This window comes from Homo sapiens, chromosome 16, assembly GCF_000001405.40.
Source record: "Homo sapiens chromosome 16, GRCh38.p14 Primary Assembly".
NCBI lineage: Eukaryota > Metazoa > Chordata > Mammalia > Primates > Hominidae > Homo > Homo sapiens.
In genome coordinates this window covers 10,224,748-10,252,656 of record NC_000016.10, presented here as the reverse complement: position 1 = coordinate 10,252,656, position 27,909 = coordinate 10,224,748, and the positions used below count along the sequence as shown (strand labels likewise).

Here is a 27,909-nt window from a genome sequence, read left to right as displayed (position 1 = left end):
ACCGAGGGGAGCAGGCAGGGTCCGAGGAGGAGGGAGTTAGCGGAGGGAGTGCTGGTGGGGTGGTGGTCATGAAAATCAGACGTTCCCAAGCGACACACCCGGACCAGACCGTAGAGAAGATGCTGGACTTGGTGCGTGGGAATCATCAGCGACCCCGGCTAGGGCAGCTTCGGGCAGCGTAGGGAGGAAGCCAGATTGCAACGGATTAAGGAGTGAGGGGGTGGCGAGATTTGCTGTCCTGATTCAGCCGCCGCGGCGGCAGCCCGGGCTGGCTCTCCTCCCACAGGTGCGGGCTCCACATGCGACGGGAACACGTGTGCCCACTCGTGCCACAGGCATGCAGGTGGGTGGAGGGGGCGGCTGGGGAGGACTGAGGCCCGGGAGTGCGGACAGCCGGGGTGCACAGCCTGAAACGGAGAGCAGAGGGCTGTGGGCTGCCGCGGGACCACGCGCACAAGACCCCACGCGTGGGCTCCGCCTGGGGGGAGTGAAACAGAGCGGAAGGGGTTTGCTTGGGTGCTGGGATGCTTCTCTGTGGAGGTGGCAGAGAGAAGGAGGGAGTGAAATGAGAGAGAAAATGGTGAGCTGGGCAAAGAGGCCAGCCCCGTGTGGTTTTTGGAAAGGACATAGTAGGCCTGGCATGGTGGTGCACGCCTGTGATCCCAGTGCTTTGGGAGGCGTAAGCGGGAGGATCGCTTGAGCTCTGGAGTTCGAGGCCAGCCTGGGCAACATTGTGAGACCTTGTCTCTACTAAAAATTAAAAAAAAAAAAAAAAATGAAAAGCTTGCAGTAGAAGTAGTAATGAACAACAGCTGCCATTTATTGAGGGCCTGCTCTGTGCCCAGCGCTGTGCAAAGTAGGCTTAATCGTCCTGAGACTCTCACTCTGATGAAGAACATGTTAATGGTATCATCATCATGTTGTGGATGAGGACACCGAGCCTCAGGTTAAGTGACTTGCCCAAGGAGTGCTAGAATGGAACTTGGGCTGGACAGACCCAAAGCTCCTGCCCCTAACCCCTTTTTGGTGCTTCTGTCTACACCTTCCTGGAAGGGGGTGACACGTGGGGTTTTGAGTTAGTCAGACCTGTGTACCAGCCACTGCCCTGTGACTTTGGGTCATTTCCACCCCAGAGGGTTCAGTTTCCTTTTTTGCAAAGCAGGGATACGGAGAAACTTTGGGAAGGCTGAGGTGAGAAGCATCTAGATAAGGGCAATTCATTCGTTCATCCGTTCATTTGTTCGTTTAGCCACAGGTGTATTGAGCACCTGCTGTGTGCCTGATGCTATGCTATGGGAATCGATAGTCATGAGCTAGATGGGGTCTGTGATTTCATGGAGCTTAAATCCAGGGGAGAGATATGGATAATAAATGAGTAAATAAATTTACTAGGTAATTCTGGATCATAGTAGATGTTACAAAGGAGAAAATGCAGTGTAATGAGAGAGAGCGAGCATGATGGCTGAGGGCCTCTGCAAACTTATCCGCACAGCAAATGGCAGTAGCCAGTATGATGCTCCAATTTCTGCTCCAAACAGAAGGTTCCAGAAACCTTAGCCAAAAGATGCCTGGAATCACTGGGGAACCCAATCAAAAGGTGGATACCTGCGTATTTGGAATAAGACTCCCTGCCTTTCTGTTGGTTGTGTTATCCTTGGTGTGAAGAAACAGAGGCTCAAAGAGGTTAAGCAACCTGCCTGAAGTCACAGAGCTAATAAATGACGGGACCGGGATTTGAACCTGAACAACTGGATTCAGGAACCTGTACACTTCATCAGTAGGCTGCTGGAGAGTGCAGACACTTTTTGTTAAAATGCAAACACCAACCCTGGGAAGAGTAACACACAGGCTCTTTGTTGCTGTTACATGGAATTTCCGTGTATGAGGGCCCTTAGAGATCATTTAGAGGAGCGAAGATCAGAGAGGTGATGTCCCTGCCCAAGGGCACACAGCCAGGCAGCCACAGAGCTGGGTTAGGAGCCTGAGGACAGATGTCTCTAGAGGGTATGGCACTGTCTGTCTCCAGCCCGAAGCTCGTTTCAGGTGGTGCTTGTCAGCTGATCACCCTGGCTCCATCAGCCATGCTGGCACTGCACAGCAGCCGGTCTTTATGGGCACGGACATTTTAATGTCCTTTATTCAGGCAAAACTCATTCCAGAATTTGAGTAACTTTGCATCTGGGGACATGTTTCACCGAGCCCCGAGTGGCTGAGTTGGCTCATGCTGGGTGACAATGACTCACTTTTATTGCCCCGTTGCTTTTGAGCCTGTGCCCGCCACAGATAACCTTGCAGGAGGCTGCAGCTGCCCTGGAGGTAGCAGCTCTCCAATGCTCCCCCTCGCCTAGTTAGCAGCGAAGGTGCTGTGCAGGCTTCCCCTCCTGCCCTTCTCAGCTTCCCCCCTACCCACCTCTCTCTTCTGGTTTCTGCAATCTATCCCCTTGGGGAAGGAAACCTGCCACCATTTGGGCCCAGGATGAGTAATTGGTACTTAGAAGGAAAATAAAGATGCCAAACAGGTCTACACGTTTGTCTGAGTGGCTCTGGTGTTCTTTCAGACCCTGATTCCACATGGCCCGGAGCACCCTGACTTGCTTTCTCAAGCCCCATTTTCCACATTCCTTCCTGGGTTGGAGATGGCCGGGACCGAGAGAGACAAAGCGGACCCCTTAGCATTGAGGCACGAGATGATGAAGCTAAGCCGACAGAAGAAAAGCTGACCCCACAGAAGGTGATGATGTAGCCCAGATATTTAAAGGCAGCTTTGATTTCAGCTGTCCTCTGGGCATCTCATGTGTCACAGCCTCATTTGTTGGGATCCTGGTTCAGACAGTGCAGTTATTACCTACAGTCATTTATTCATTCAACAAACAAGTAATGAGCACCCCAGCTCATTGTTGGAGATGCTGCAGTGGGCAGGACATGCAGGGGGCAGCTGGCATGGAATCTATGGTCCGTGGAGGGAGATAATCCTTGGATGATGATACCAATTGTTACTGAATTACAGTTGGGACAAGTGCTATGCAGAAGGGTGGGGTGTATGTAATCCCCGTCTCCCCCTCCTCCCCGTTGGGAGTCTTCAGGGAGTGCGCCTCCATCCCCACTCTTTTCTGGGCATCTCGTTGACCCTACTTCCTTTTTCTGAATTGGAGTCTCCCTCTGTCACCCAGGCTGGAGTGCAATGGCGTGATCTTGGCTCACTACAGCCTCCACCTCCTGGGCTCGATCGATTCTCCCATCTCAGCCTCTCGAGTAGCTGGGATTACAGGCATGTGCTACCACACCCAGCTAATTTTTGTATTTTTAGTAAAGACGGGGTTTCACTCTGTTGGCCAGCTGGTCTCGAACCCCTGACCTCAGGTGATCCACCTGCCTTGGCCTCCCAAAGTGCTGGGATTACAGGCGTGAGCCACCGCGGCTGGTCGACCTTACTTTCTTTAGACATGTAACAGAGACAAATGGAAATAAGACCACAGAGTGACTTAACCACAGAGCCACTCCCCAGCAGCTCTTATGCCTGGTAAGTAATCACATTTTTCTCCTGCAAGATTGTGTAACTCAGCCAGGTGCGGTGGCTCAGGCCTGTAATCCCAGCACTTTGGGAGTCTGAGGTGGGAGGGTCACCTGAGGTCAGGAGCTCGAGACCAGCCTGGCCTACATGGTGAAACCCCATCTCTACTAAAAATACAAAAATTAGCTGGGTGTGGTGGTGTGCGCCTGTAATCCCAGGTACTTGGGAGGCTGAGGCAGGAGAGTTGCTTGAACCCAGGAGGCAGAGGTTGTAGAGAGCCGAGATTGAGCCACTGCACTCCAGCCTGGGCGACAGAGTGAAACTCCATCTCAAAAACAAACAAACAAACAAACAAACAAACAAAAAAAACAACTGTGTAACTCTACTGGGGATGTGCTTGGTCCTCAAAGTAAAGTGTGAGATGGCTTGAGCTGGAAGTTTCTCTGTCCTTGTTGTAAACTGGTGACTGATGGCATTGGAGTTACCTGTGTTTCTGTCTATCAATCAATCAAATATCTATCTGTCATCTACCTATCTATCTATCCATCCTTCCATCCACCCATTCATCCCTATTTTATCTTTCTACCTCTCCCCTGCCACACACTTAAAAAAAAAATCAAACATTGGGCACATTGGCTCATGCCTGAAATCCCAACACTTTAGGAGGATGAGGCAGGAGAATCACTTGAGGCCAGGAGTTTGAACCAGCCTGAGCAACATAGCGAGGCCCCCATCTCTACGAAAAATTAAAAAAATAGCCAGGCATGGTGGCATGCATCTATAATCCCACCTACTTGGGAGGCTGGAGTGGGAGGATTGCTTGAGGCCAGGAGTTTGAGACCAACCTGGCCAACATGGCCCTGTGTCTACTAGAAAATACAAAAATTAGCTGGGCATGGCTGTGCATGCCTGTGATCCCAGCTACTTGTGTGGCTGAGGCAGAAGAATTGCTTGAACCCGGGAGGCGGAGGTTGCAGTAAGCTGAGATCACGCCAACGCACTCCAGCCTGGGTGACAGAGTGAGACTCTGTCTCAAAGAAAAAAAAAATGCTCTTGATGATAAGATGCACCAATAATTTAAACATGGCCTTTGGTGGTTATGAAAAAGGAAGGGGCTTATCATGGTGGCTCATGCCGGTAATCCTAGCACTTTGGGAGGCTGAGGTGGGAGGATTGCTTGAGCTCAGGAATTTGAAACCAGACTGGGCGATATAGTGAGAACCTGTCTCTACAAAAAATTTAAAAATTAGCTGGATATGGTGGTATGCACCTGTGGTCCCAGCTACTCGGGAACCTGACATGGGAATAATCACACCACTGCACTGCAGCCTGGGTGACAGGGTGAGACCATGTTTCTTAAAATAAAAAAAAAAAAAGAAAGGAAGTCAGATTATATGAAATGTATATACCTGAGGTAGGAAATTTCAGAAACAGGAAAATATGGTAAACTTTGATTTGGAGGTAAGGGGCTGAAATATATGCCTAGACCTGCAAAAATGCAACATGATTAGCAGCAGTATCCCCAAAAGTACAGTAGCTGGGACCTTGTGAAAGCAGGTGTATTGGTTTCCTAGGGCTATGGTAACAAGGTGTGATGAGCTTGGAGGCTTAAAACAACAGAAATGTATGGTCTCACAGTTCTGGAGGCCAGAAGATCAAGGTGTTTGCAGGGCCATGCCTCCTCTGAATCCTCCCTTGCCTCTTTCTAGCTTCCAGTGGTTTCTGCAGCAATCTTTGGTGTTCTTTGGCTTGCAGCTGCAGAACTCCAGTCTCAGCCTCAGGACGTTCTCCCTGTGTGTCTCCTCCTTCAAGTGGCTGCCCCTTATAATAACACTAGTCATACCAGATTAGGGATGCAACTTACGCCACTATGACCTCATATTAACTAATTATATTTGCAGTGACCATAGTTTCCAAATAAGGTCACATTCAGAGGTATTGGGGGTTAGGACTTCCATATATCTTTTTTAGAAAAATTAGATTAAATTAAAAATAAATAGCCAGGCATGGTGATGTGTGTCTATAGTTCTAGCTACTCAGGAGGCTGAGGTGGGAGGGTCTTGCTCTGTTGCCCAGGCTGTTCTTGAACTCCTGGCCTCCAGTGATCCTCCTGCCTTGGCCTCCCTAAGTTCTGGGATTATAGTCATGAGCCACCACATCCCACATGCCTTTCGAATGGAGGTGGGGCAGCGTACACAATTCAGTGCTCATAACAGAAGCTATCTGTTGTCTTCTGTTGTTCCTGTTTATATTTATATCTGTTTCTCTGTCTCTCCTTTCGCATTGCTTCTTTTTTCACATCTCCTCTTTTTGTTTTTTGAGACAGAGTCTAGCTCTGTCACACAGGCTGGAGTGCAGTGGTACAATCTTGCCTCACTGCAACCTCCACCTCCCGGGTTCAAGTGATTCTCCTACCTCAGCCTCCCGAGTAGCTGGGACTACAGGCACCCACCACCACGCCCAGCTAATTTTTCGTATTTTTAGTAGAGACAGGGTTTTACCATATTGGCCAGGCTGGTCTCAAACTCCTGACCTCAGGTGATCCACCCGCCTCGGCCTCCCAAAGTGCTGAGATTACGGGCGTGAGCCACTGTGGCTGGCCTACATCTCCTCTTGCATGAATGTAACACAGACCCAAAATATCTTTTTATTCGCTATTTTGTGAAGTACAGTTTTATCTTAGGCTAAGAAGCCCATTGCGTTATTTTCCTTTTGTTGCTGTGACAAATTAGCACAAACTTAGTGGCTTAAAACAGCACAAGTTCATTGGCCCACAGTTCTGGAGGCTGGAACTCCAAAGTGAGTCTGAAAGGTGTTAGGCAGCTGTGGTGTCCTGTCTTAAAAAAAAAAAAAAAAAGGAGAGAGGCTGATAATTCTGATTCCAAATAACTGAGTGACTTAGAGCAATTTTTATTTAATTTCTGGGAACTTCAGCTCATCTACGAAAGTGAATGGTAGAGATATGTTTTATATTCTTCATAGATATTTTCACCTCATCCTCTCTCTCTCTCTCTCTCTCTCTCTCCATTTCCATCTCCATCCATCCATCTGTCTATTATCATTTTTTTTTTTTTTGGGATGGTGTTTTGCTCTTGTCGCTCAGGCTGTAGTGCAATGGTGTGATCTCGGCTCACTGCAACCTTCACCTTCCGGGTTCAAGCAATTCTCCTGCCTCAGCTTCCTGAGTAGCTGGGACTACAGGCATGTGCCACCACACCCAGCTAATTTTTGTATTTTTAGTAGAGACGGGGTTTCACCATGTTGGCCAGGTTGGTCTCGAACTCCTGACCTCAGGTGATCCGCCCACTTCGGCCTCCCAAATTGCTGGGATTACAGGTGTGAGCCAATGCACCTGGCCCAATCCATCTATTATTGAGAGGTACAGGTGAACAAATTGTTTGGCAGGGAGCTGAGTATAGTGGAAGAATTCAGATGTCAGAGGGGCCTGGTTTTGAATCATGATTCTGCTATTTTATCTTGTGTGACCTTGGGGGGAAGTTACTGAACCTATCTGAGCCTCACTTTACTCATCCATAAAAATGGAGACACTAATAGTACCAGAAGAATTGAATGGAATTTTATGTATATGAAGCACAGAGCCAAGACAGAGTAGCTGCTTTAAAAATGATAGCAACTAGCATTGCTATTATTAAAAGCACTGGACAAGATAAAGTCCATTGCAGATACTTTTTTCCCTTTCAGAGACCTGTTCTCAGGCAGAGCAATGTGGTTTCCTTCCTACTATCCTAAACTCCTTCTCTCCATCAGTTCCCTATTCCTCAGCGCTTGTTCTGTTCCGGAAACTTGGCAGATAGTGTGTGCAGTTATTTTCAGAGGAATGAGTGGGTAAAATCGGCAGCATTTCCCCCGGAGTGTCTGTGCCCAGGGAGCATGAGTTTATGGTGCATCTGCTTTGTGTATAAAAGCCTTGTCCTCCCCCAGCACCACCCCCTTGCCTCAGAGGCAGAGCAAGCAGGGACCTGGCTACCGCCTGCACTCCTCGTTTCCTGCCGGTCAGTGGAGTCTTTGCCGACCAGCCGCATGGTTGGCGGGGTGGTAAACAGCAACAATGGCTTTCCTTCCAGGTGTCTGGCTGGGCAGGGGAAAGTGGTCACTGCTGGAGGGCCAGCAGCTTTGGAGGGACTTGAGAGCAGAGTTCAGAGGATCCTTCACCAGTCTGCAGCCCAGCCTGAGATGATGATGAAAATGATAATGACGGCTGGGCATGTTGGCTCGTGCCTGTAATCCCAGCACTTTGGGAGGCTGAGGCAGGAGGCTCGCTTGAGCCCAAGAGTTCGAGACCAGCCTGGGCAACATAGTGAGACCCTGTCTCTACAAAAAAGAAACAAAATTAGCCAGGTGCGGTGGCGGACATCTGTGGTCCCAGCTACATGGGAGGCTGAGGTGGGAGGATCACTTGAGCCTGGGAGGTCAAAGCTGCAGTGACCCATGATAGTGCCACTGCATTTCAGCCTGGGTGACAGACAGAGTGAGACCTTGTCTCAAAAAATAAAATAAATAAAATAAGAAAGAGATAATGACAACAGTGATAGCTAATAGAATAGTAGCATCTCCTTCTCTCACTGTCCTAGCTCAGGATGCCTGCGTAGGAACCCCTTTACCCCCCTATATAGGGGTGGGCATCTTCCTCACTGCCCTACTTGGTGTTCAGAGGTTGTCTTGGGTCTTATGGTTGTCTGGGGTGGGAGGCGTGTTGTTGTTGAGGGAGGTTATGTGCTCTTGGAGCATCCGTACAATGGTGGGAATGCAGACCTTGACCATGGGGTAGAGCCTCTTCCCTCAATTGAGAAGGAGTGGTTTTCACCAGGAGAGCCTTTGGTGTAGCAGAGACCCGGGGCATGCCAGGAGTTCCTGTCTGCGCTCTCTTGACCTCTCACCTGGCATTTCCTGGGCATTGGTCTCATTTGAGATCTACACTCGGCTCAAGGCGTCTGGTGTTGAATTTCCTCTGTCTCCTCTCCAGCCTCTCCTTTCCACCCTAGTTTTTTCTCCCTCTACACCCCAGTCTTGCTAATGTCTTGTCTCTCGTAGTAGCCTTTATGGCAGATCAAGAGGATCCTCACTGACCATTAACAACAGAGCTAACTAACATATTGTTAGCAATAGAAAGTTCTTTCCTCTTTTCTTTTTCTCTCTCTTTTTTTTTTTCTCGAAATGGAGTTTCGCTCTTGTTGCCCAGGCTGGAGTGCAATGGTGCAATCTCAGCTCACCACAACCTCCGCCTCCTGGGTTCAAGCGATCCTCCTACCTCAGCCTCCCGAATAGCTGGGATTATAGGCATGTGCCATCATGCCCGGCTAATTTTTGGTGTTTTTAGTGGAGATGGGGTTTCTCCATGTTGGTCAGGCTGGTCTCAAACTCCCGACTTCAGGTGACCCACCCACCTCGGCCTCCCAAAGTGATGGGATTCCAGGCATGAGCCACTGCGCCCGGCCAGTTCTTTCCTCTTTTCTTAAGGGCAGGGAGGATTCTATCTTCAGAAAACACAGAACATCTAACTTCTACTTCCTGAACTTTAGAGCTGAGTTTTTAACTAAAAAAAAAAAAATCAGGTTGAATCATTACTTTAACCTGTTTTTTAAAATTTTATTATTATTATTATTCTTAGTCAGGGTCTCATTCTGTCACAGGGGTGTGAACATGGCTCACTGCAGCCTCGACCTCCCAGGCTCAGGTGATCCTCCCACCTCAGCCTTCCAGGTGGCTGGGACTACAGGCAGGCACCACCACGCTTGGCTAATTTTTGTATTTTTTGTAGAGACGAGACCTCGCTGTATTTCCCAGGCTGGTCTCGAACTTTTGGGCTCAAGCGATCCTCCTGCCTCAGCCTCCCAAAGTGCTGGGATTACAGGTGTCAGCCACTGAGCCTGACCTAACCTGTATTTGAATCTACTTCTTCATTTTGCAGGAGAAAAAACTGAAAGCTCAGAAGGGGAAGGAACTTCCCCAAGTTGGCATGTGGTTACTAAACAGTCACATCAAAACTTGAACAGTGGCCACTGGCGCTGAAGCCTGTTGGTTTAGCCACTGGACTATCCCACCTCTTCTGTGATTTTGGGAAAATCCCCCTCTTGGAGCCTGCGTTTGCCCTACTATTCTACGAAGATAAACACTTCTCTTGCAGGATGGCAGTCATAGTGATAGTTGTAGTAATAACGGATGATGGTGGTGGCCAGTGCTTACGTATTCCTATTTATCCCCTATGAAACGTCTTTTATGTCTTGATGCGCAGGCCTCTGAATGGGCACACTGATGACAGGGATTGGAGAGGACGCATGGAATGCAATTATAACAGTGTGTGACACACAGTGGGCTACAAGTGCTGGGTCTTATTATTATTACTGTTATTAGTAGGGACATGAAGTGATTGATGGTGGTCTTGGGGGTCTGAGAGGCCTCATGAAAGCCCTGCCCTCATCAGCAGCAGCTCCCATGTTTTGGAAACTTTTCTAGCATGTTCTCTCCACTTTGGCATTGCATTCTCTTGGCACCTTCCAAAAGATAGGCAGTCCTAGAGAGTTAGGAGAGAGAAATTATTTTTCTCTTTAAAGAATTCTGTTCTTCCTTTGGCTTTCCTCCCGTGTTGGGTAACAGAGTCTCTGAGGGCAGCATGAATCCGGGGTGGGTCCAGTGGATGACTGGTTTCTGCAGTGAAGGACCCTGGTGCTTCTCAATGGAGGAACCAGGGGGAATGGCTCCCCAGGGAGAGAGGAAACAGCCTGTGTGGCCCAGCCGCCTGCTGCAGGTCATGTTCTTGCCTCTGGCTCCTAGCAGTGAGGCCCTGAGCAACACATGTCTTCCCCTGGGAACTGCTGCAGCTTCCCAAAGCATCGGCTGCCTTCTGTAAGGGAGAAATCTGGCATTGGGAAGGCAGCATCTCACTGGTTTCTGAGTGCCAGCTGGCTCCCTGGGACCAGCTACAAAACTGAGTTCTTGTTTCCTTAGGATCAGGTGGGAGGGAATCTGGGCCTCCAGCACCAAGGCAATGGGAATAATAATAGTTATGTGGATGATGACAACAATAACAGCAGCAGCTACCATTTAGTGAGTGTCAGACAATCTGTCGTGGGCTTTGTGTTCATTGTCAGATTTTACCTGTAACAGCCCTACAAGGTGGATGTCATCCCCCCATTTTACAGATAGGGAGACAGAAGCTTAGAGAGCTTCAGGACACTGTGCCCAAGATCACACAGTGCTATGGTTTGGCTGGGTCCCTACCCAAATCTCACCCTGAATTGTAATAATCCCCACGTGTCAAGGGCGAGGCCAGGTGGAGATAATTGAATTATGAGGGCAGTTTCCCCCATACCGTTCTCATGGTATTGAATAAGTCTCATGAGAGGTTTATAAAACTGACGGTTTTATAAATGGGAGTTCCCCGGCACACTCTCTCTTGCCCGCTGCCGTGGAAGAGGTCCCTTTGTTCTTCCCTCCTCTTCTGCCATGATTGTGAGGCCTCCCCAGCCACATGGAAGTGTGAGTCCATCAAAACCCCTTTCCTTTATAAATTACCCAGTCTCAGTATGTCTTTATTAGCAGTATAAAAACAGACTAATATCCATGGCCACTGAGAAACCAAGCGAGGGTTCCAACCCCAGGTCTATTGATGACAGAACCAGGGTTCTCACTGCTACACCACGTGGCTTTAAAGGGTGTGTTGGTCCCAATAGATGGTAGCCATTGAGAGCACGCCACCTGTGTGTGAATCAAGTCTCTGCCACTCTTCTTTTTTTTTTTTTGGAGACAGGGTCTCGCTCTGTTGTGCTGAGTCATCATGGCTCACTGCAGCCTCCACCTCCCTGGCTCAAGTGATCCTCCCACCTCAGCCTACTGGGTAGCGGAACTACTGGTGTATACCACCATACTCAGCTAATTTTTGTATCTTTTGTAAAAATAGGGTTTCATCATGTTGCTCAGGCTGGTCTCAAACTCCTGACCTCAAGCGTTCTTCCCTCCTCAGCTTCCCAAGATGCTGTGATTACAGTCATGAGCCACTGCACCTGGCCTGTCTGGTACTTTCTTGCTGTATGACCTTGGGCAGTTTGCATACCTGAGCTTTAGCATCCTCTTTTGGAAAACAGGGCAATGGTGGTAATAATAGTGCCTCACTCATAACATCAGTATGGAGATTAAATGAGATAACACAATGCTCAATGCCTTGGAATGCAACAGAGTTTCTCAGCCTTGACATTGACATTTTGGGTGACATAATGCCTTATCGTGGGGGCTGTCCTGGCCAGTGTGGGATGTTTAGCAGCAATCTGGCCTCTGGCTGCTAGATGACAGTAGCAGCCTGCCCCCTTCCCCCCAGTGTGATACACAAAAATGTGATAAACGTCCACAGGGCGTATGTGTGGGGGGATTGCCTCCCTTTGAGAATCAATGACACATAGTAAGTACCCAATCCAGGTTAGGCATTTTAGGATTATTATTCTGACAGGACCTTAAGCTGCCTCAAAACTGGTCTGATGATGGAAGTACTTTGCGGAAGTCTTTAACCATGCTCAAAGCTAGGAGGGCAGCCTCTTAAGGGAATCTGGAGTCGTTCCCTGGCTACGATTGTCTGAAGGGAAAACCATCCCAGACACAGACCTATACTTCCTCCTTGGTGATAATAAGCAGTTTTGTTCCCAGTTCCTTTAGCAGGGACCACTTAAAAGTGCCTGGGGCTTCTGCAGCACCATGACAAGTCATGAGGTCTTTTTAAAAACTAGTTCGAGTTTCCTATCATTTTATTAATCCAGGCAGCAATAACTGAGCACCTCTTGTATGCCAGATCTCGCAATATAAAGATCAACAGAGGCTGGGCGCGGTGGCTCACACCTGTAATCCCAGCACATTGGGAGGCCGAGGCAGGCGGATTACCTGAGGTCAGGAGTTTGAGACCAGCCTGGCCAACATGGCAAAACCCCGTCTCTACTAAAAATACAAAAATTATCCAGGCAAGGTGGTATGTGCCTGTAGTCCCAGCTTGGGAGGCTGAGGCAGGAGGATTGCTTGAACCTGGGAGGCAGAGGTTGTAGTGAGCCAAGACCATGCCATTGCACTCCAGCCTGGGTGACAGAGCAAGACTCTGTCTCAAAAAAAAAAAAAAAAAAAAAGATCAATATGATCAATAGCTAACACTTAGCAGGCCTTTAAAGGGTGCCGGGCTCTGTTCTAAGTTTCTAGCTGTGTCATCTCGGTTCAGCCTCTGTGATAGTTTTACATGTCGACTTGAGTGGATCAGGAGTGTCCAGATATGTGGTAGAACATTATTTCTGACTGAGAGTGTTTCCGGAAGAGATTAGCATTTGAATCAGTAGCCTGAGTGAAGAAGATCCGCCTTCCCCAGTGTGAGTGGGCAGCATCCGATCTGTTGAGAGCTCAAATAGAACCAAAGGTGGAGGGAGGAGGAATTTGCCCCTTCTCATTCCCATCTTCTCCTGCCTCCGGCTGGCATTCACTCTGCTCCTCTGGTTCTCAGGTCGTCCAGTTTGGACTGAATTACAGCACAGGCTTTTCTGAGCCTCCAGCCTGCGGATGGCCGGGAGTGGGACTTATCAGCCTCTGAATTACACGAGCCAATTTCTTCTAGTGCATCTCCTTTTTTACTTTTTTTTTTTTTTTTTTTTGAGGTGGAGTCTCGCTCTGCCGCCCAGGCTGGAGTGCAGTGGCGCGATCTCAGCTCACTGCAACGTCCATCTCCCGGATTCAAGCGATTGTCCTGCTTCTGCCTCTGGAATAGCTGGTGCCCACCACCATACCCGGTGAATTTTTGTATTTTTAGTAGAGATGGGGTTTCACCATGTTGGCCAGGCTGGTCTCAAACTCCTGACCTCAAGTGATCTGCCCACTTCGGGCTTCCAAAGTCCTGGGATTACAGGCATGAGCCACCTCGCCCAGCCCCCTTTTTTACATTTAACCTATGGTTCTCTTTCTCTGGAGAACCCTTATTAATATAGTCACAAAACATCCCGATTTTCTTTTTCTCTTTAGAGACAGGGTCTCACTCTGTCATCCAGGCTAGAGTGCAGTGATGTGAGCGCAGTTCACTGCAACCTTAAATTCCTGGGCCACAAGCAATCCTCTCACATGAGCCTCCTGAGTAGCTGGGACTAAAAGTGCACATCACCATGCCTGGCAATTTTAAAGTATTTTGTAGAGACAGGGTCTCACTATGTTGCCCAGGCTGGTCTCAAACTCCTGGCCTTAAGTGATCCTCTCTCCTCGGCCTCCGAAAGTGCTGGGATTACAGGCGTCAGCCACTGCACCTGGCCAAAACGCCTACATAATATTATCCCCGTTTTACAAATGAGAAAAATGAGGTACAGAAAAGGTAAAGCACTTTGTCTATGAGTACACAGACAGCAAGTGGAGGAACAGAAGTTCACACCCGGGTGGGTCTGGCTCCGGGGCCACTTTAATGATCTGAATTGGACAAGATGTTCTGCTCTTAGGGAGCCCATAGCCTGGAAGAGAAGCCAGAGGATGGTAGCAGAGGGGTGAGGATAAACGTAAGCCAGGTGAACTGTGGGGCCCGAGAGTGGAGGAGAAGCATCTGCGTCAGTGTCGTCAGGGAAAGCATCTTTCAGAGGGCAGGCTGGGAACTCAGCTTTAAAAGTGCAGGTGACAGGTGGGACAGTAGCATTCTGGCTGCAGGGACCAGATATCCAAAGGTCCCAAAGTTGGCTGGCTACGGTGGTGCACGCCCATAATCCCAGCTACTAGGAAGGCTGAGGTTGGAGGATCACTTGAGCCCAAGGGTTCGAGGCGCAGTGAGCTGTGTTCATGCCACTGCACTCTAGCCTGGGCGACAGAGCAATACCTCATCAATTAAAAAAACAAACCTCCCAAAGTCCAGAGCCATAGAGCACCACAATATACGTGTGGTGATCCACAAATGACTGCAGCCAAGAGTGTGAGGCAAGAATTGGGAGATGAAAACCAAGAGGTGCTTCAAGACCGGATCACAAAGGCTACAAAGCATAGGAACTAGAACATCAAAGAAACCCATTGCTTTGCGAAAAAATATCCAGGATGGATTGCGTTGGCAGGACCTGGTTAAAGTAGACGAATAGCAGGTATGCGTTTATTAAGTTGAAAGAGCGAAAAAAGCAAATGCCCTTAGAATTGTTGACCAAAAAACTCAGCACAGATAGAGTTGTCGTGAGCTCCAGGAGACCTGGGCATGAGTGATCTGGCTCGCTGTGTCAGGATTGCTGGATTGCACAGCTCCAGGGAGCACCATCCAGTTTGGGTCAGTGGCACTCTGTGGACCCATGCTGTCCACTACCCCTTTTTGCAAAGACAGACCTGTTCTGTTTGTGCTGTTCGTTACAATAGCCACTGGCCACACGTGGGAATTAAGTACTTGAAATGTAGCTAGTGTGACTGAGGAACAGAATTTTAAAATTTCATTTATTTTTAACTAATTAAAGTTTAAAGATAAATAGCTGCCTGTGCCTAGTGGCTACCATTTGGACAGCACAGCCCTGGAGTCTTGCAGTGCCCTGTCAGTGTGGCTGCGCACTGTGGCATTGACCTATATGCTCCTTGGGCAAATCGCTTGCCTTCCAGAACACTGTTATTTTTCTATGTGTCTTTGAGACTCTGCTACAGTGAAACATGAAACAGAACAAATTAGCAGGCATCTCAGAGATAATTAATGGTTTGAATGATGTGAAAAAGACAAAACCAACCAACCAACAAACCAAACAATAAACAACTCAAATGACCAGTCAGTGAGAAAGTTGGCTTGATATCCATGGAACAAAAAGTCTTGGCTGGGCTGGGTGCAATGGCTCACACCTGTAATCCCAGTACTTTTGTAGGCTGAGGTGAACGGATCACCTAAGGTCAGGAGTACAAGACCAGCCTGTCCAACATGGTGAAACCCCGTCTCTACTAAAAATTACAAAAATTAGCCAGGAATGGTGGTGAGCGCCTGTAATCCCAGCTACTTGGGAGGCTGAGCAGGGAGAATCTGGGAGGCAGAGGTTGCAGTAAGCCAAGATCGCGCCATTGCACTCCAGCCTGGGCAACAGAGTGAGACTCCATCTCAAAAAAAAAAAAAAAAAAAAAAAAGGTCTTGGGTGGGTGGTTTTGAAGGTGGAGTTGGAGGAATCTGTCTCTAACTGAATAAGAGGCCTATGAAGTCATGATTTCCAACTCACTACATGCAAGCGTCTTTCCACTAGGATAGTGACCTCTGGCAAATTGAGTGCATGGCTCAGTTTTTCATTCTTCTCTGTATCCATGATCTTTGACTTGTCCCCTTGCAGCTTCTGCCATTGGAGAGGCAGGATTGCCCCTTAATTTTGGGTTTGATCATGAGATTCACTTTTGCCTATGGGACGGCAGCAGGTTTGATGCCACCAAAAGCTTGAAAAGCACTTGCATGATGGGGCTTGCTGTCTTGTGCCTCTCTCATCACCATGAGAAGAACTTGGATGGGCACCTGCCCACTGGTCCCAGAAGAGGATGGGAAGCAAGTGGAACAAGACACTACACCACCCAGCCCAACTCACCTAGTCCCAGCCTAGCCAGAGATATGCCAGTGAGAGCTCAGCCTAGATTAGCCAGCTCCAGTCAATTACAGACACATGAGCTTTTTCTTTCATCAACTGAGATTTTGTAGTTGTTATGTAGCAGAGGTTAACTGGTACATGGCTGTTAATTTGATTTGAAATGTCATCGTTCTCCTGGAGAATTGAAACTGCGGTATGTAATGGTTTGTATTACCTTGTGTCTGCCCTTTCACACTCTGGTTTCTCTTGATGACATTTACAGGTTAAATATTTCTTTTTGGGCTTTTAAGGCCATTACATACTCATTTTAGAAAGTGATATGGAAAAACAAGAAAATTTAAAAATTATGTATAATATCGACCCCCAGACATAATCACTGTTAACATTTTGCTGCATATTTTTTCTGATATAAACCAAGATAGATACATACCTGTACATGCATATACAAACATTCACACATCTATAAATGGGATCATATTTTATAGAAAGCTGCATTCTGCATTATTTTACTTAGCTCAACATTACAGACATCAGCATTTCCCTACGTCCTTAAATTTCTCCAGGAACGTGATTCTTAGCAGCTTCATATTAATATTCTATGGTATGGCTGTATCATATTTTATTTAAGCATTTCCTACTTTTGGACATTTAAATTCTTTGCAATTTTTCACCATTACAAATGATGCTACAATGTTCATCTTTGTACATGAATCTCAGTGTGCTTCTGTGATTGTTCCCTTAAGCTGTGTTCCTAGAAGTGAAATTCCTTGGTGAAAGGGTTCAAACAATTTTAATAAGGTATTGCCAAAAAAAAACCAAGGCAATTTATCACCCTGCCAGCAGAGTAAGAAAGAGTCTGGTATTTATAATTTTAAAAGGCACATTGGGGACACTTTAAAGTGGATAGATTGGGACTGGGGTCTCTAAGTTTGTGGTTTACACAGGACCATCAACTTGGAACCATGTGAACTCCTTTAAATGTGACATTGAGGGGTGACCCTGAAATGAATCGTAGGACCCCAGCGTTCTTTTTTTTTTTTTTCCTCGAGACAAAGTCTTGCTCTTTTGCCCAGGCTGGAGTGCAGTGGCATGATTTTGGCTCACTGCAACCTCCTCCTCCCGGGTTCAAGAGATTATCCTGCCTCAGCTTCCTGAGTAGCTGGGATTACAGGTGTGAACCAACATGCCTGGCAAATTTTTGTATTTTTAGTAGAAATGGGGTTTCACCATGTTGGCCAGCCTGGTCTTGAACTCCTGACCTCGTGATTTGCCCGCCTCAGCCTCCCAAAGTGCTGGGATTATAGACATCAGCCACCGTGCCCAGTCAACCCCAATGTTCTTGACCTGCCCAGTCACTTCTAGCTGTGTGATTTCTGGCTAAAGCTTGAGTAGTGCTGTTTAGAGAAGGTAGACACAATCTGATTTTTAAAGTTAAGGAGTATGGCCCGGGAGATCTCTATGGACAGTTCCTGCCTCTGTTAAACATCCCAGTCACCTCAGAGCAAACTCTAGATCCATTCCTTTGTAACCTTGAGACTTTACCAATCCCCATATTTTCTCTGAGCACAGGGTTCGTTATCAGTAAAATGGGAGCAAAGCTATGATTTAAACTGGCAAATTATCTAGCAAACCCAGTCATTTCCGAACGGGTTTTTTGACTCTTGCATATCCCAGATGGAATTTTCATGGGGCTGTGAAAAACAATGATGTAGGCTACTATGAATGGAGAGACGTTTGTCTGTAAAGTCTTGTTCTGTACTATGACACAGGTTTGACTTTTCCTAAGAGCTAAACACCCTTTTAAAGAGAAGTGTGGAATTTTGCTTCTGATAATGGCCAAGTAGGTGCCTATTGGGGTGACCTTCCCTCAGATAACAAATATAATCCCTGAACAAAAAAATAAAAAAAACTCAGTTACCTAAAGGATGGGTGGTGGTGGCTAAAACTCCAACAGAAAACCTGCACTCCATCTGGCTGAACAGCCAGAGGACATAGTTGCAGACATCTGTTCTCATGGGAAAGGGAACTGGAGATGGCAAGGTTTAACTCTGTGTATAAAGTCTGCCCCAATCTCTGGGTGACCTCTGAAGTATCTGTGCACCAGGCAAACCGTAAGCAGCCCAGATAAAGCTAAAAGAGATGGTCTGAGAACTAAGCTGCTGCCCCACTGGTAGAGTTGCAGTTTGAGTCCAACCAAGTTAATTGCCTCCAAAAACAAATTAAAAAATCAACACTCTTGGGAGAAATAGCACAGAATCTGGAGTCTCTACAATGTAATATTCACAATATCTAGGATACAATCTACTCTAAATGCAAACAAATGGGAAATTTTGGCCCATTCTTGAGCAAAAAGACAATGAATGGAAGCTGACTCCAAGGTGACCCAGACGTTTTTTTTTGTTTTTTTTTTTTGTTTTTTTTTTTGAGATAGAGTTTCGCTCTTTTGCCCAGGCTGGAGTGCAGTGGTGTGATCTTGGCTCACTGCAACCTCCACCTCCTGGGTTCAAGCGATTCTCCTCCCTCAGCCTCCTGAGTAGCTGGAATTATAGGCACCTGCCACCATGCCTAGCTAATTTTTAAGTTTTTAGTAGAGATGGGGTTTTGCCACATTGGCTAGGCTTGTCTCCAACTCCTGACCTCAGGTGATCCACCTGCCTCAGCCTCCCAAAATGCTGGAATTAGAGGCATGAGCCACTACACCTTGCCTAGGCAAGAATTTTTAAAGCAGCTATTCTAACAATGTTCAGTGATGTAAAGGCAACTCTGCTCACAATAAATGAAAAGATAAGAAATTTCAGCCTCAAATAGAACAATAAGAAAGAAACAATGGGAACTTCTAGGTCTAGAACATACGATGTCTAAAATGAAACATTCACTGGAGGGGGTTGATTGCAGAATAAAGATGACAAAGGAATGAATCATGAATTTGAAGATGTCAATAGTATTTTTTGAAATATTCATTGATGTACTTTCTCCTTATTTTCCTTTTTTTTCTCCATGCTCCCTTTAGTCCCAATCTAAGCATTTGGCTGGGCTCATTGCATGAGGGAGGAGATGGGACTATACAAAAAAAAACAAAAAACAGAATAAAGTCTGCAAGTGCATGTCTTTAGTGTCCCAAAGTCTAAGTCCTTAGAAGAATTAAAAAGATTCGGAATTCCATAATGTTTAGAATTAGAATTACAGTTTGAGAAGAGTGAGGCTTTTCCCTAGATTGAGGGGAAAGGAGAGAAAGGAGGGAAAAGGGAGTTGAGCAGAAACATCAGTGCCTCCTGGAGAAAGACCATGCTATGCAGAGCTCTGGAGGGTCTTGCACTGCCACATAGATGCTGCAGGCAGGAGTGACACGGATCACTCTGCTCACAGCTCACTGAACAGAACTAGTCACATGGCCCCACTTAACTGCACAGGGCCCAGGGAATGGTATCCCATCATGAGCCTAGAAAACTGAAAATATTGGTAAGCAGTGCTGGTGATTACCGTGGTATGTATCTTTGGGACTCAAATCTTCTCCCACTGGAATGATCACAAATGCCTCCTGTATGGACTGAATGTGTACCCTGCTAATTCATATCTTGATGCTCCAACTCACAGTGTGATGGGAGATAGGGCCTTTGGGAGTTAATTAGGGTTGGATGAGGTCATGAGGGTGGGGCCCCTATGATGAGATTAGTGCCCTTGTAAGAACAGACATGTGAAAGCTTACTCCCTCTCTGCCATGTGAGGTCCCAGTGAGAAGGTGGTTATCTATAAACCAGGAAGCAGGCCCTCACTGGAAACCAACCATGCTGCACCTTGATCTTGGACTTCCAGCCTCCAGAACTGCAAGAAAACAGGTTTATGTTGTTTAAGCTGCCCAGGCTATGGTATTTTGTCAGGGCAGCCCGAGCTGACTAATAAACCTCTCCCAGGGTCTTCCTGCCCAGAGTCTCCTGAATTTTAAGCATCCTTCATCCAATCATCCTTCTCCAGAAAGCCATTATCATGGGAACAAACTAGGTAGTCTCAAGCAAGACAGCTTCACCTAACTCATTTGGTTTTCTTTTTGGATCTCTTTTGGGGTGAGCATGCTTCCTGGTCTGCTGGTCCAGACCCACAGTGGTCCTGAACTCTTTTTTTTTTTTTTTTTTTTTTTTTTTTTTGTGACAGGTTCTTGCTCTGTCACCCAGGCTGGAGTGCAGTGGCACAATCTCGGCTCACTACAAGCTCTGCCTCCCAGGTTCACACCATTCTCCTGCCTCAGCCTCCCCAGTAGCTGGGACTGCAGGTGCCCACCACCACACCTGGCTAATTTTTGTTGTATTTTTAGTAGAGACACGGTTTCACCATGTTAGCCAGGATGGTCTCAATCTCCTGACCTCGTGATCCGCCCGCCTCGGCCTCCCAAAGTGCTGGGATTACAGGCGTGAGCCACCGCGCCCAGCCAGTCCTCAACTCATCATAGGAAACAATTGTTCACTCTTTCTTTATCTTTTGCCTTCTTGGCATGTGGGAGGTTTCTTCCCTTGGGCAGCTACAGAGATTATTCTTCTCTTATCTCAGGAAACCCTGGAAAAAGCAAACCTACTCCTTCCTTCATCACTCAAGGAATGCAGGTGCAGAGGAGAGTTGTGGGGACCTGTCAAGTTGGCAGGGAAAACAGGGATAATGGAAAGCTGCATCCAAGTGTCCCATCTCCTTGCCTCTCCTACTCATCTCATGCCTTTTCTGTCCATGCACATTGTTCTCTTAGCATACCAAACAATTTGTGACTTTCCAAGGGCACCAGTATTTTCTGCCTTGAACTCTGCTGGGAGACAGGGCCTTTGGGAGTCAATTTGAGTTAGATGAGGTCATGAGGGTGGGGCCCCCATGATGAGATTAGTGCCCTTATAAGGAGAGACATGTGGCCAGGTGAGGTGTCTCATGCCTGTAATCCCAGCACTTTGGGAGACCATGGCAGGCGGATCACTTGAGGTCAGGAGTTTGAGACCAGTCTGATCAACATGTTGAAACCCTGTCTCTACTAAAAATATAAAATTAGCCAGGCGTGGTGGCACAATCCTATAATCCCAGCTACTTGGGAGGCTGACTCAGGAGAATCACTTGAACCTGGGAGGTGGAGGTTGTGGTGAGCCAAGATCGGGCCGTTGCACTCCAGCCTGGGCAACAAGAGCGAAACTGTCAAAAAAAAAAAAAAAAAAAAACATTGAGAGCTTGCTCCCTCTCTGCCGTGTGAGGTCCCCCTGGTGAGAAAGTGGTTATCTATAAACCAGGAAGGGGGCCCTTGTCAGAACCCAGCCATGCTGCACCTTGATCTTGGACTGCCAGTCTCCAGAACTGTGCAAAAATGCATTGTTTGGAAGGCGGAGGCAGGTGGATCACTTGAGGTCAGGAGTTTGAGACCAGCCTGGCCAACATGGCGAAACCCTGTCTCTACTAAAAATATGAAAATTAGCTGGGTGTGGTGGCGCATGCCTGTAATCCTAGCTACTGAGGAGGCTGAGGCATGCCCTTCTCCTCTGTCTTCTGTTTCTTCCATGAATAAATCTGTCCACAGATTTATTCACCAACAAATATTTACTGAGCCCCTACTGAGTGTTAGGCACCCACACTAGGCGCAGAGGATACAGTGGTGAAGAGGACAGACATAGTCCCTGCCCTCATGGAGCTTACAGGCTAGTGGGGGAAACCCAAAGAGTGGGTGCTAAGAATGACTAACATAGGATGCTTACAGAGAGATCAGCAAGGAGAATATTATTTGAATGACAGTGGGTCTGGGAATGCTTGACCTGAGTAAGTGGCATTTAAGCTGAAAACTGAAGTGTGGGCAGAAATGAGCCAGGTGAAGAATGAAGTGTTTTACAGAGAGAGAGAGAGAGAGAGAGAGAGAGGAAACATCATCTACAAAATCAGAGCATCCAGAGTCATAAGGAGCCTAGAGCTGTTGAGAAACAGTAAAGGCACCCTAAACAAGAGGAAGGCCACCCTGTCAAGGCTCAGCTCAAATATCCTCTCTTCTGTGGAACCTTCTCTGCCACCTCTGGGCTCTCACAGCCTTTGGTACACCCTTGCCTGATGCATACTTATGTCAACATCACTTGTTTGTGTCATCCAAATACCTGTTGGAGATCCCTTGTCTCTCAGGGGCTCATCGGGTCACTCTAGAAATGTTTGTTGAGTACCAACTATATGCCAGATTCTGTAGACACTTTGGTAAGTAGAATAAGGCTCCCACCTTCATGGGGCTTATGTTCTTGAAGCAGGGAGACAAAAAACACCTGAATGCATGAATCAACAGTTCAAGTTCAGGGGATGATAAGTGTTATGAAGAAACTGATGCAGGATCGTGTGATATAAATTGAGGCAGGGACTCGGTGTAGTGGCTCATGCCTATAATCCCAGCATTTTGGGAGGCTGAGGCAGGCAGATCACTTGAGGCCAGGAGTTTGAGACCAGCCTGGCCAACATGGCGAAACCCTATCTCTACTGAAAATAGAAAAGTTAGCCAAGCATGGTGGCACACGCCTGTAACCCCAGCTACTCGGGAGGCTGAGGCATGAGTATTGCTTGAACATGGGAGGTGGAGGTTGCAGTGAGCTGAGATCATGCCACTGTCCTCCTGCCTAGGTGACAGAGCAAGACTCTGTCTCAAAAATAAATAAATAAATAAATCGAGGCAGGTGCTAAAATTCACAGTGGTAAGGAAAGACTCGAGTGAGGAGATGATATTTGAGCTGCATAATGAGAAGGACCCCACCCTGTGAATATTGTGGTGGGGGTGAGAGAGTGGTCTAAGCAGAGCAAACAGCCAGTGCAAAGGCCCTGGGGTCAGAAAAAGATGGGTGTGTTCAGAAGATCAGAAAGACAGATCTTACAGAGTCCATGAAGGTGGGGTAAGAACTCTGGATTTTGTTCTAAATGCAATGGGAAGCTATTGGAGGATTTTATTTTATTTTATTTTATTTATTTATTTTGAGACAGAGTTTTGCTCTTGTCACCCAGGCTGGAGTGCAATGGCGCGATCTCGGCTCACTGCCTCCACCTCCCTGGTTGAAGCGATTCTCTTGCCTTAGCCTTCCAACTAGCTGAGATTACAGGTGTGCACCACCATGCCTGGCTAATTTTGTATTTTTTATAGAGACGGGGTTTCACCGTGTTGGCCAGGCTGGTCTCAAACTCCTGACCTCAGGTGATCCACCCTCCTTGGCCTCCCAAAGTGCTGGGATTACGGGCGTGAGCCACCACGCCTGGCTTTGAAGCTATTGGAGGATTTTAGAGGCACAAAATGACCTGGCCTCAAGAACTGAATACATTTAGGTGTCAAGACCTAGTTGCATTTTAAAGGCTCACTCTGGCTGCTGGTGGGGAGTCCGTAGTGTGGGAGGGGGCAGGCATAGAAGCAGGACACCATGTAGGAGGCTGCTGTAGTCTTCCTGGTGGGCGTGGGTGGCAGCTTGCAAACTGGCCTCAAATGCCCCTGATTCTCTATGGCTTGACATAGTCCAAATCCCTCCTTAAGATTTCTCAAGAGGACAGTTCCTAACCGTGTCTTCCATCTCCAGCCCCTGTGCCTGCATGCTGTTCACCACCTCACTGAAGATGAGAGGTTTCACATCACACCACACATGTCGTGGCCTCCCCTCCAGGTCCTGGCACTCCCCTTCCTGTTCTGCTCTGGGGAACAAACAAAGCCCTCTCATTTTCACACACAGAGCAGTTTCCTCCTTTTTCCTTGAAGTCTTGGCACCAGCAGCATTCATGCCCTTAGGGAATCAATTTTGTCCTCACTGAACTTGTTAAAACATCCTTCCAAACAAATACAGCACTTTCCCCAAAAGGACTGTATTTGTTTATCTGGCAAATGAAGCATTATCTGATTTGTGGCACATCAGCCTCTCCAGATAGCTGGAGAGCTCCCCGAGGGCAGGGCTGTGTATGGATAATAACAATGTCTGTGCCCCAGGTCAAGTTTTTCCAGAATCAGGCCCTGAGATGACGGTTCATCGGCAAGTGATTTATTAGGAAAGTGCTTCCAAGAGAAACTGACAAAAAGATCAGAATGGGCAGTAGCCAAGCAAGGGTGAGATTTCAGATCAAGTTCAGCCTCAGCCTGATTCTGCAGGATGCTCTGGGAGGGGGGTGGGTACCTGACACCTTAGAGTTTGTGCCACCTTGAGTCCAGGAGAAGCTGGGCTTTCCATCCCGCCTCTATGAGTCAGTGGTTAAAGACTACCCTGGCAGTGATGTAAATTCCCAGATATGAGTGGCGGAGCTTCCATAGCCCAAAGTCAGTCTTCAGAGAAAGGCAGCAGGTGTACAGAGTTGGGCACAAAGAACTCGCCAGAATAGTGCAGAGCCCACCTTATCCTCTCCAGTAAATATCCCCAGTTCCCAGAACGACTGATGCAAGGTGTGTGCTCAATGGTGTTTGTTGAATGAATCGGTGAATTTAGTGTCCAAGGCTACATACGGCCTATTATGGATTACAGTGAGTGTGAAGAGACTAGAAAGTCAGAAAACTCTTCCTGTAGAAAGCTCTTCTAAGCTTCAGGATCAGGATGCAGACAAGCAGGGCTTGGATTCCCAGGGATGATAGCTTACTGTTTCTGGGACAATACCCCTGGGACAAGACCCTGGTGGGGTCCCAGAGGTCATTGTGATGGTTAGCCATGTCCTATTCTCTGAGCATGTCCCAGTAGCAATCATGATGTTTGTGCAGTGTTTTGACATTGACAAGTTGCTTTTACATTTAATTTTCCCATGGGGCCCTTAAAACATGTTCATGTTTTTGGAGATGAGAAAACTGGGGCTCAGGGGAATGAACTCATTAAGTTTCATCTAGTGGAGGAGTAAGAATTGGGACTTGAATTTGTCCCTAAAAGTGGTTGATATTGACTAGGTTCCTAAGGATGCTTAAGATGATTATTTAATGCAGTTGCTCTTTGCTTCTTTGAGAGAGAGACTGCAAACCGTGGGCCCACATGCCAATTCCAGTTATCAGATGTGTTCTTGGTAGCACAGTAATATTTTTTCATTTCACAGATGTTTCACCATTGAATGATTTCATACGACTATCTGGATTTCTGGCTTCTCTTGAAAACTGAACATCTGGTTTCACCTTCCCTCCTGGCTGGGATTGTGGCTGCCATCCCATTTTAGATGGGTCACCCTTTCTCCGGTTTTCAACATTCCCCATCACTGCGTATAGCTGTACTGTTCAATAAGGTAACCACTAGCCATATGGGGCTATTGAGTCTTGAAATGTGGCTAGTCCAAATTGAGGTGGCTATTAGGGATAAGGGAATCTGGGAGGTATTTTTCTCCTTCTATTAGAAAATTCTTATGAGGTTCACATTGGATTTCTGTTGGACCCTAGTGGCTCATAGTCTTCACATCAAGCCAGCTTCTTGCATTTCTGCTCCCTGCCTGACCCTGTAGGCATAGGAGTTTGGAACCTCTGATGAATGGGAAGGAAGTGTGACCTGCAGTCAGGACGCCAAAGTTCAACTGCTGGCTCTGACACTTACTGTGTGACTTTGGGAGAGTTACCTCCCTCTCTGTGCTTGGTCTCTTCAATTGTACAATGAAGACTTTGGACTGAATTTCTAATTTTCTGCAATGGAAATACAATGGAAGACTTTGGACTTAATTTCCAACTTTCTACAATGGAAAGAAACTTCGCCTCCCACACACCTCTGAATTTACCCTCTTGTGGTGGAGCTCTGCTGCTGTCAGCTTTGATCTGAGCCTCCCCAGCTGGGCACCCCCTCCTCTTGCCCTGATTCTTTACACTCCAGCTGCTTCTATATCTCTGGGGAGCCCTGTCTCCATCAGGGGCCTCCCTCCTCATTCCACAGGGGGCTGCATGCTGGATCGTTCTGCTTGGCTTGCTGTTTACAAAACGAGAGGTTGACCATGTTTCCCTTTGCTTTTTCATTAATATCTGCAATTTGCCCTCATTTAATTCACATATTTTAGCTATTAGTTTCCTCACCTTCCGCAATTATTTTCATGCACCCTTGGGCTTGTAAACCATTGTTCCAAGTGGTGTGTTGCCTATTTTAAGAACTTAATTTGTTTATAATGTGCACATCAGCTGCATGATTTGTTTCTTGCTGGTAATTAACTTTTAAGCTGATGCCATTCCCCCGCCAAAAGTGAAACTCAAGGTAAAGTTGGTAAGATTAATCATGCTGGCTGCATCCAAATCTTCCGACATCTTCATCAGACTCAGCAAGTTTGGGGAAAATGATATTTTTTTCTTCTACTTCCATCTGTTACCCTGCCGATCTTGGAGCCAATCCATCCATTAGTGGGCTTGAGTGTTGGAGTTGGAATCTGAGACTTTTCAGTTTCTGTACCAAGACGAGCAAACTTTTCCTCCAAACCCTCACCCTGCAACTTGAACCCATCTCTTCCTTCCTGGGAGGGTCCCTGGATACTGATGAATCATGAAATGGTTGTATAATACCTCCCAGATTCCCTTAGCGCTATTGTGGAGTTAGTTGCTGGTTTCCACAGTCTTTTGCAATCAGACAGATCAGCAATGTCTTGGATTGATAATCTCCATTGGTGAGGTGGGGATGTTTGGGTTGTAAATAGCTAACTTTATTAATCTTTCTATTTAATGATTCTGTCTGTAGGTCATGGGTGAAATTGAAATTCCAGACCGCCCTTCTTCGTGGCAAACCTTTAGAAATTAGATTGTACTAGGTCAGTGCTTCTGAAACCTGAATGTGAACCCCTGGGTGAGATTATGATTCAGTTGGTCTAAGGTGGGACCCACAAATCTGCATTTTGACACGTGCCAAGAAGAGGCCAGTGCTGCTAGTCCGGGACCATACTCTGAAAGGTAGGCATTAGCCAGCCAGCTTCGTAAAGACTGGAATGATATCAGTCTTGTTTCTTTTTTTTTTTTTTCTTTTTGAGACAGAGTCTCATTCTGTCACCCAGGCTGGAGTGCAGTGGTGAGATCTCGGCTCAGTTCACTGCAACCTCCGCCTCCTGGGTCCAAGTGATTATCCTGCCTCAGCCTCCTGAGTAGCTGGGATTACAGGCATGCACCACCATGCGCGGCTAATTTTTTTTTTTTTTTTTTAATTTTTAGTAGAGATGGGATTTCTGCATGTTGGTCGGGCTAGTCTCGAACTCCTGACCCCGTGATCCTCCCACCTCGCTCTCCCAAAGTGCTGGGACCACAGGCATGAGCCACCGCACTAGGCCTTAGTCTTGTTTCTTATTGGCATGTGGACACCGGCAACTATTTGGAGACTGAATGAGTGAATGACTGAATGAGCTGCACTCAGGAATGTAGATAACGCTCTCCCAGATCGATCTTATTAGAGTGAGATGCCTTCCTTCTTATTCTCACGCTAGCAAAAAAAAAAAAAAAAAAAAAAAAAAAAAAGTAGTAATTTTATATTTTTCCAAATTTAGGAAGGGCTAAATGTCATACGCTGATTTATCTCCTCCATAGATATGATATTTATGTGTGTGTGCACACACATATGTTTGGCTTTTGGAAGTGAATTTATAGTAACAGAATGCTCTTCACCATGGATCTCTTTCTAACTATAGCCTGCCGCCTTCATCCGAAAGGGCCCGCTTCCAGAGAGCCCTGCAAATGGAGAAATCCTTGTTCCTGTTTTTAAAATTCTTCAGAGAGCTGCCTGGTTTTCCCTCTAAGGCCCTGTTTTTTTCCAGTGTTGTTTCCAGATTTCTGATCTCATCAATGGAGGAGCTTCAAATAAGTGCTGACTTCCTGTAACACTTCTCTTGAACACCTTGAAGCTTCTATCATTCTTCAGCTACCATGAATGGGTTGTCAATTTTTCATGAGGCCAAGATGGTAAATGCACACACAAACACACACATGTGCGTGCACAC

The 27,909-nt window shown here is 47.0% G+C and overlaps 1 long non-coding RNA gene across 1 annotated transcript, besides 1 other annotated feature; it reads left to right on the top strand.

Annotated features, from left to right (window-relative positions):
* Positions 1-13: 13 nt before the first annotated feature.
* On the top strand, positions 14-26,903 carry LOC105371078 (uncharacterized). Its single transcript, XR_001752077.1, has 3 exons — positions 14-343; positions 25,066-25,248; positions 26,667-26,903. It is a non-coding gene; the product is annotated as an uncharacterized LOC105371078 (long non-coding RNA).
* Positions 25,638-26,685: an enhancer, noted in NCBI's record as "VISTA enhancer hs1242". NCBI's record gives its function as "enhancer in: neural tube[4/12] | hindbrain (rhombencephalon)[4/12]" and the evidence as "EXISTENCE:transgenic organism evidence [ECO:0001131][PMID:17130149]".
* Positions 26,904-27,909: the final 1,006 nt, after the last annotated feature.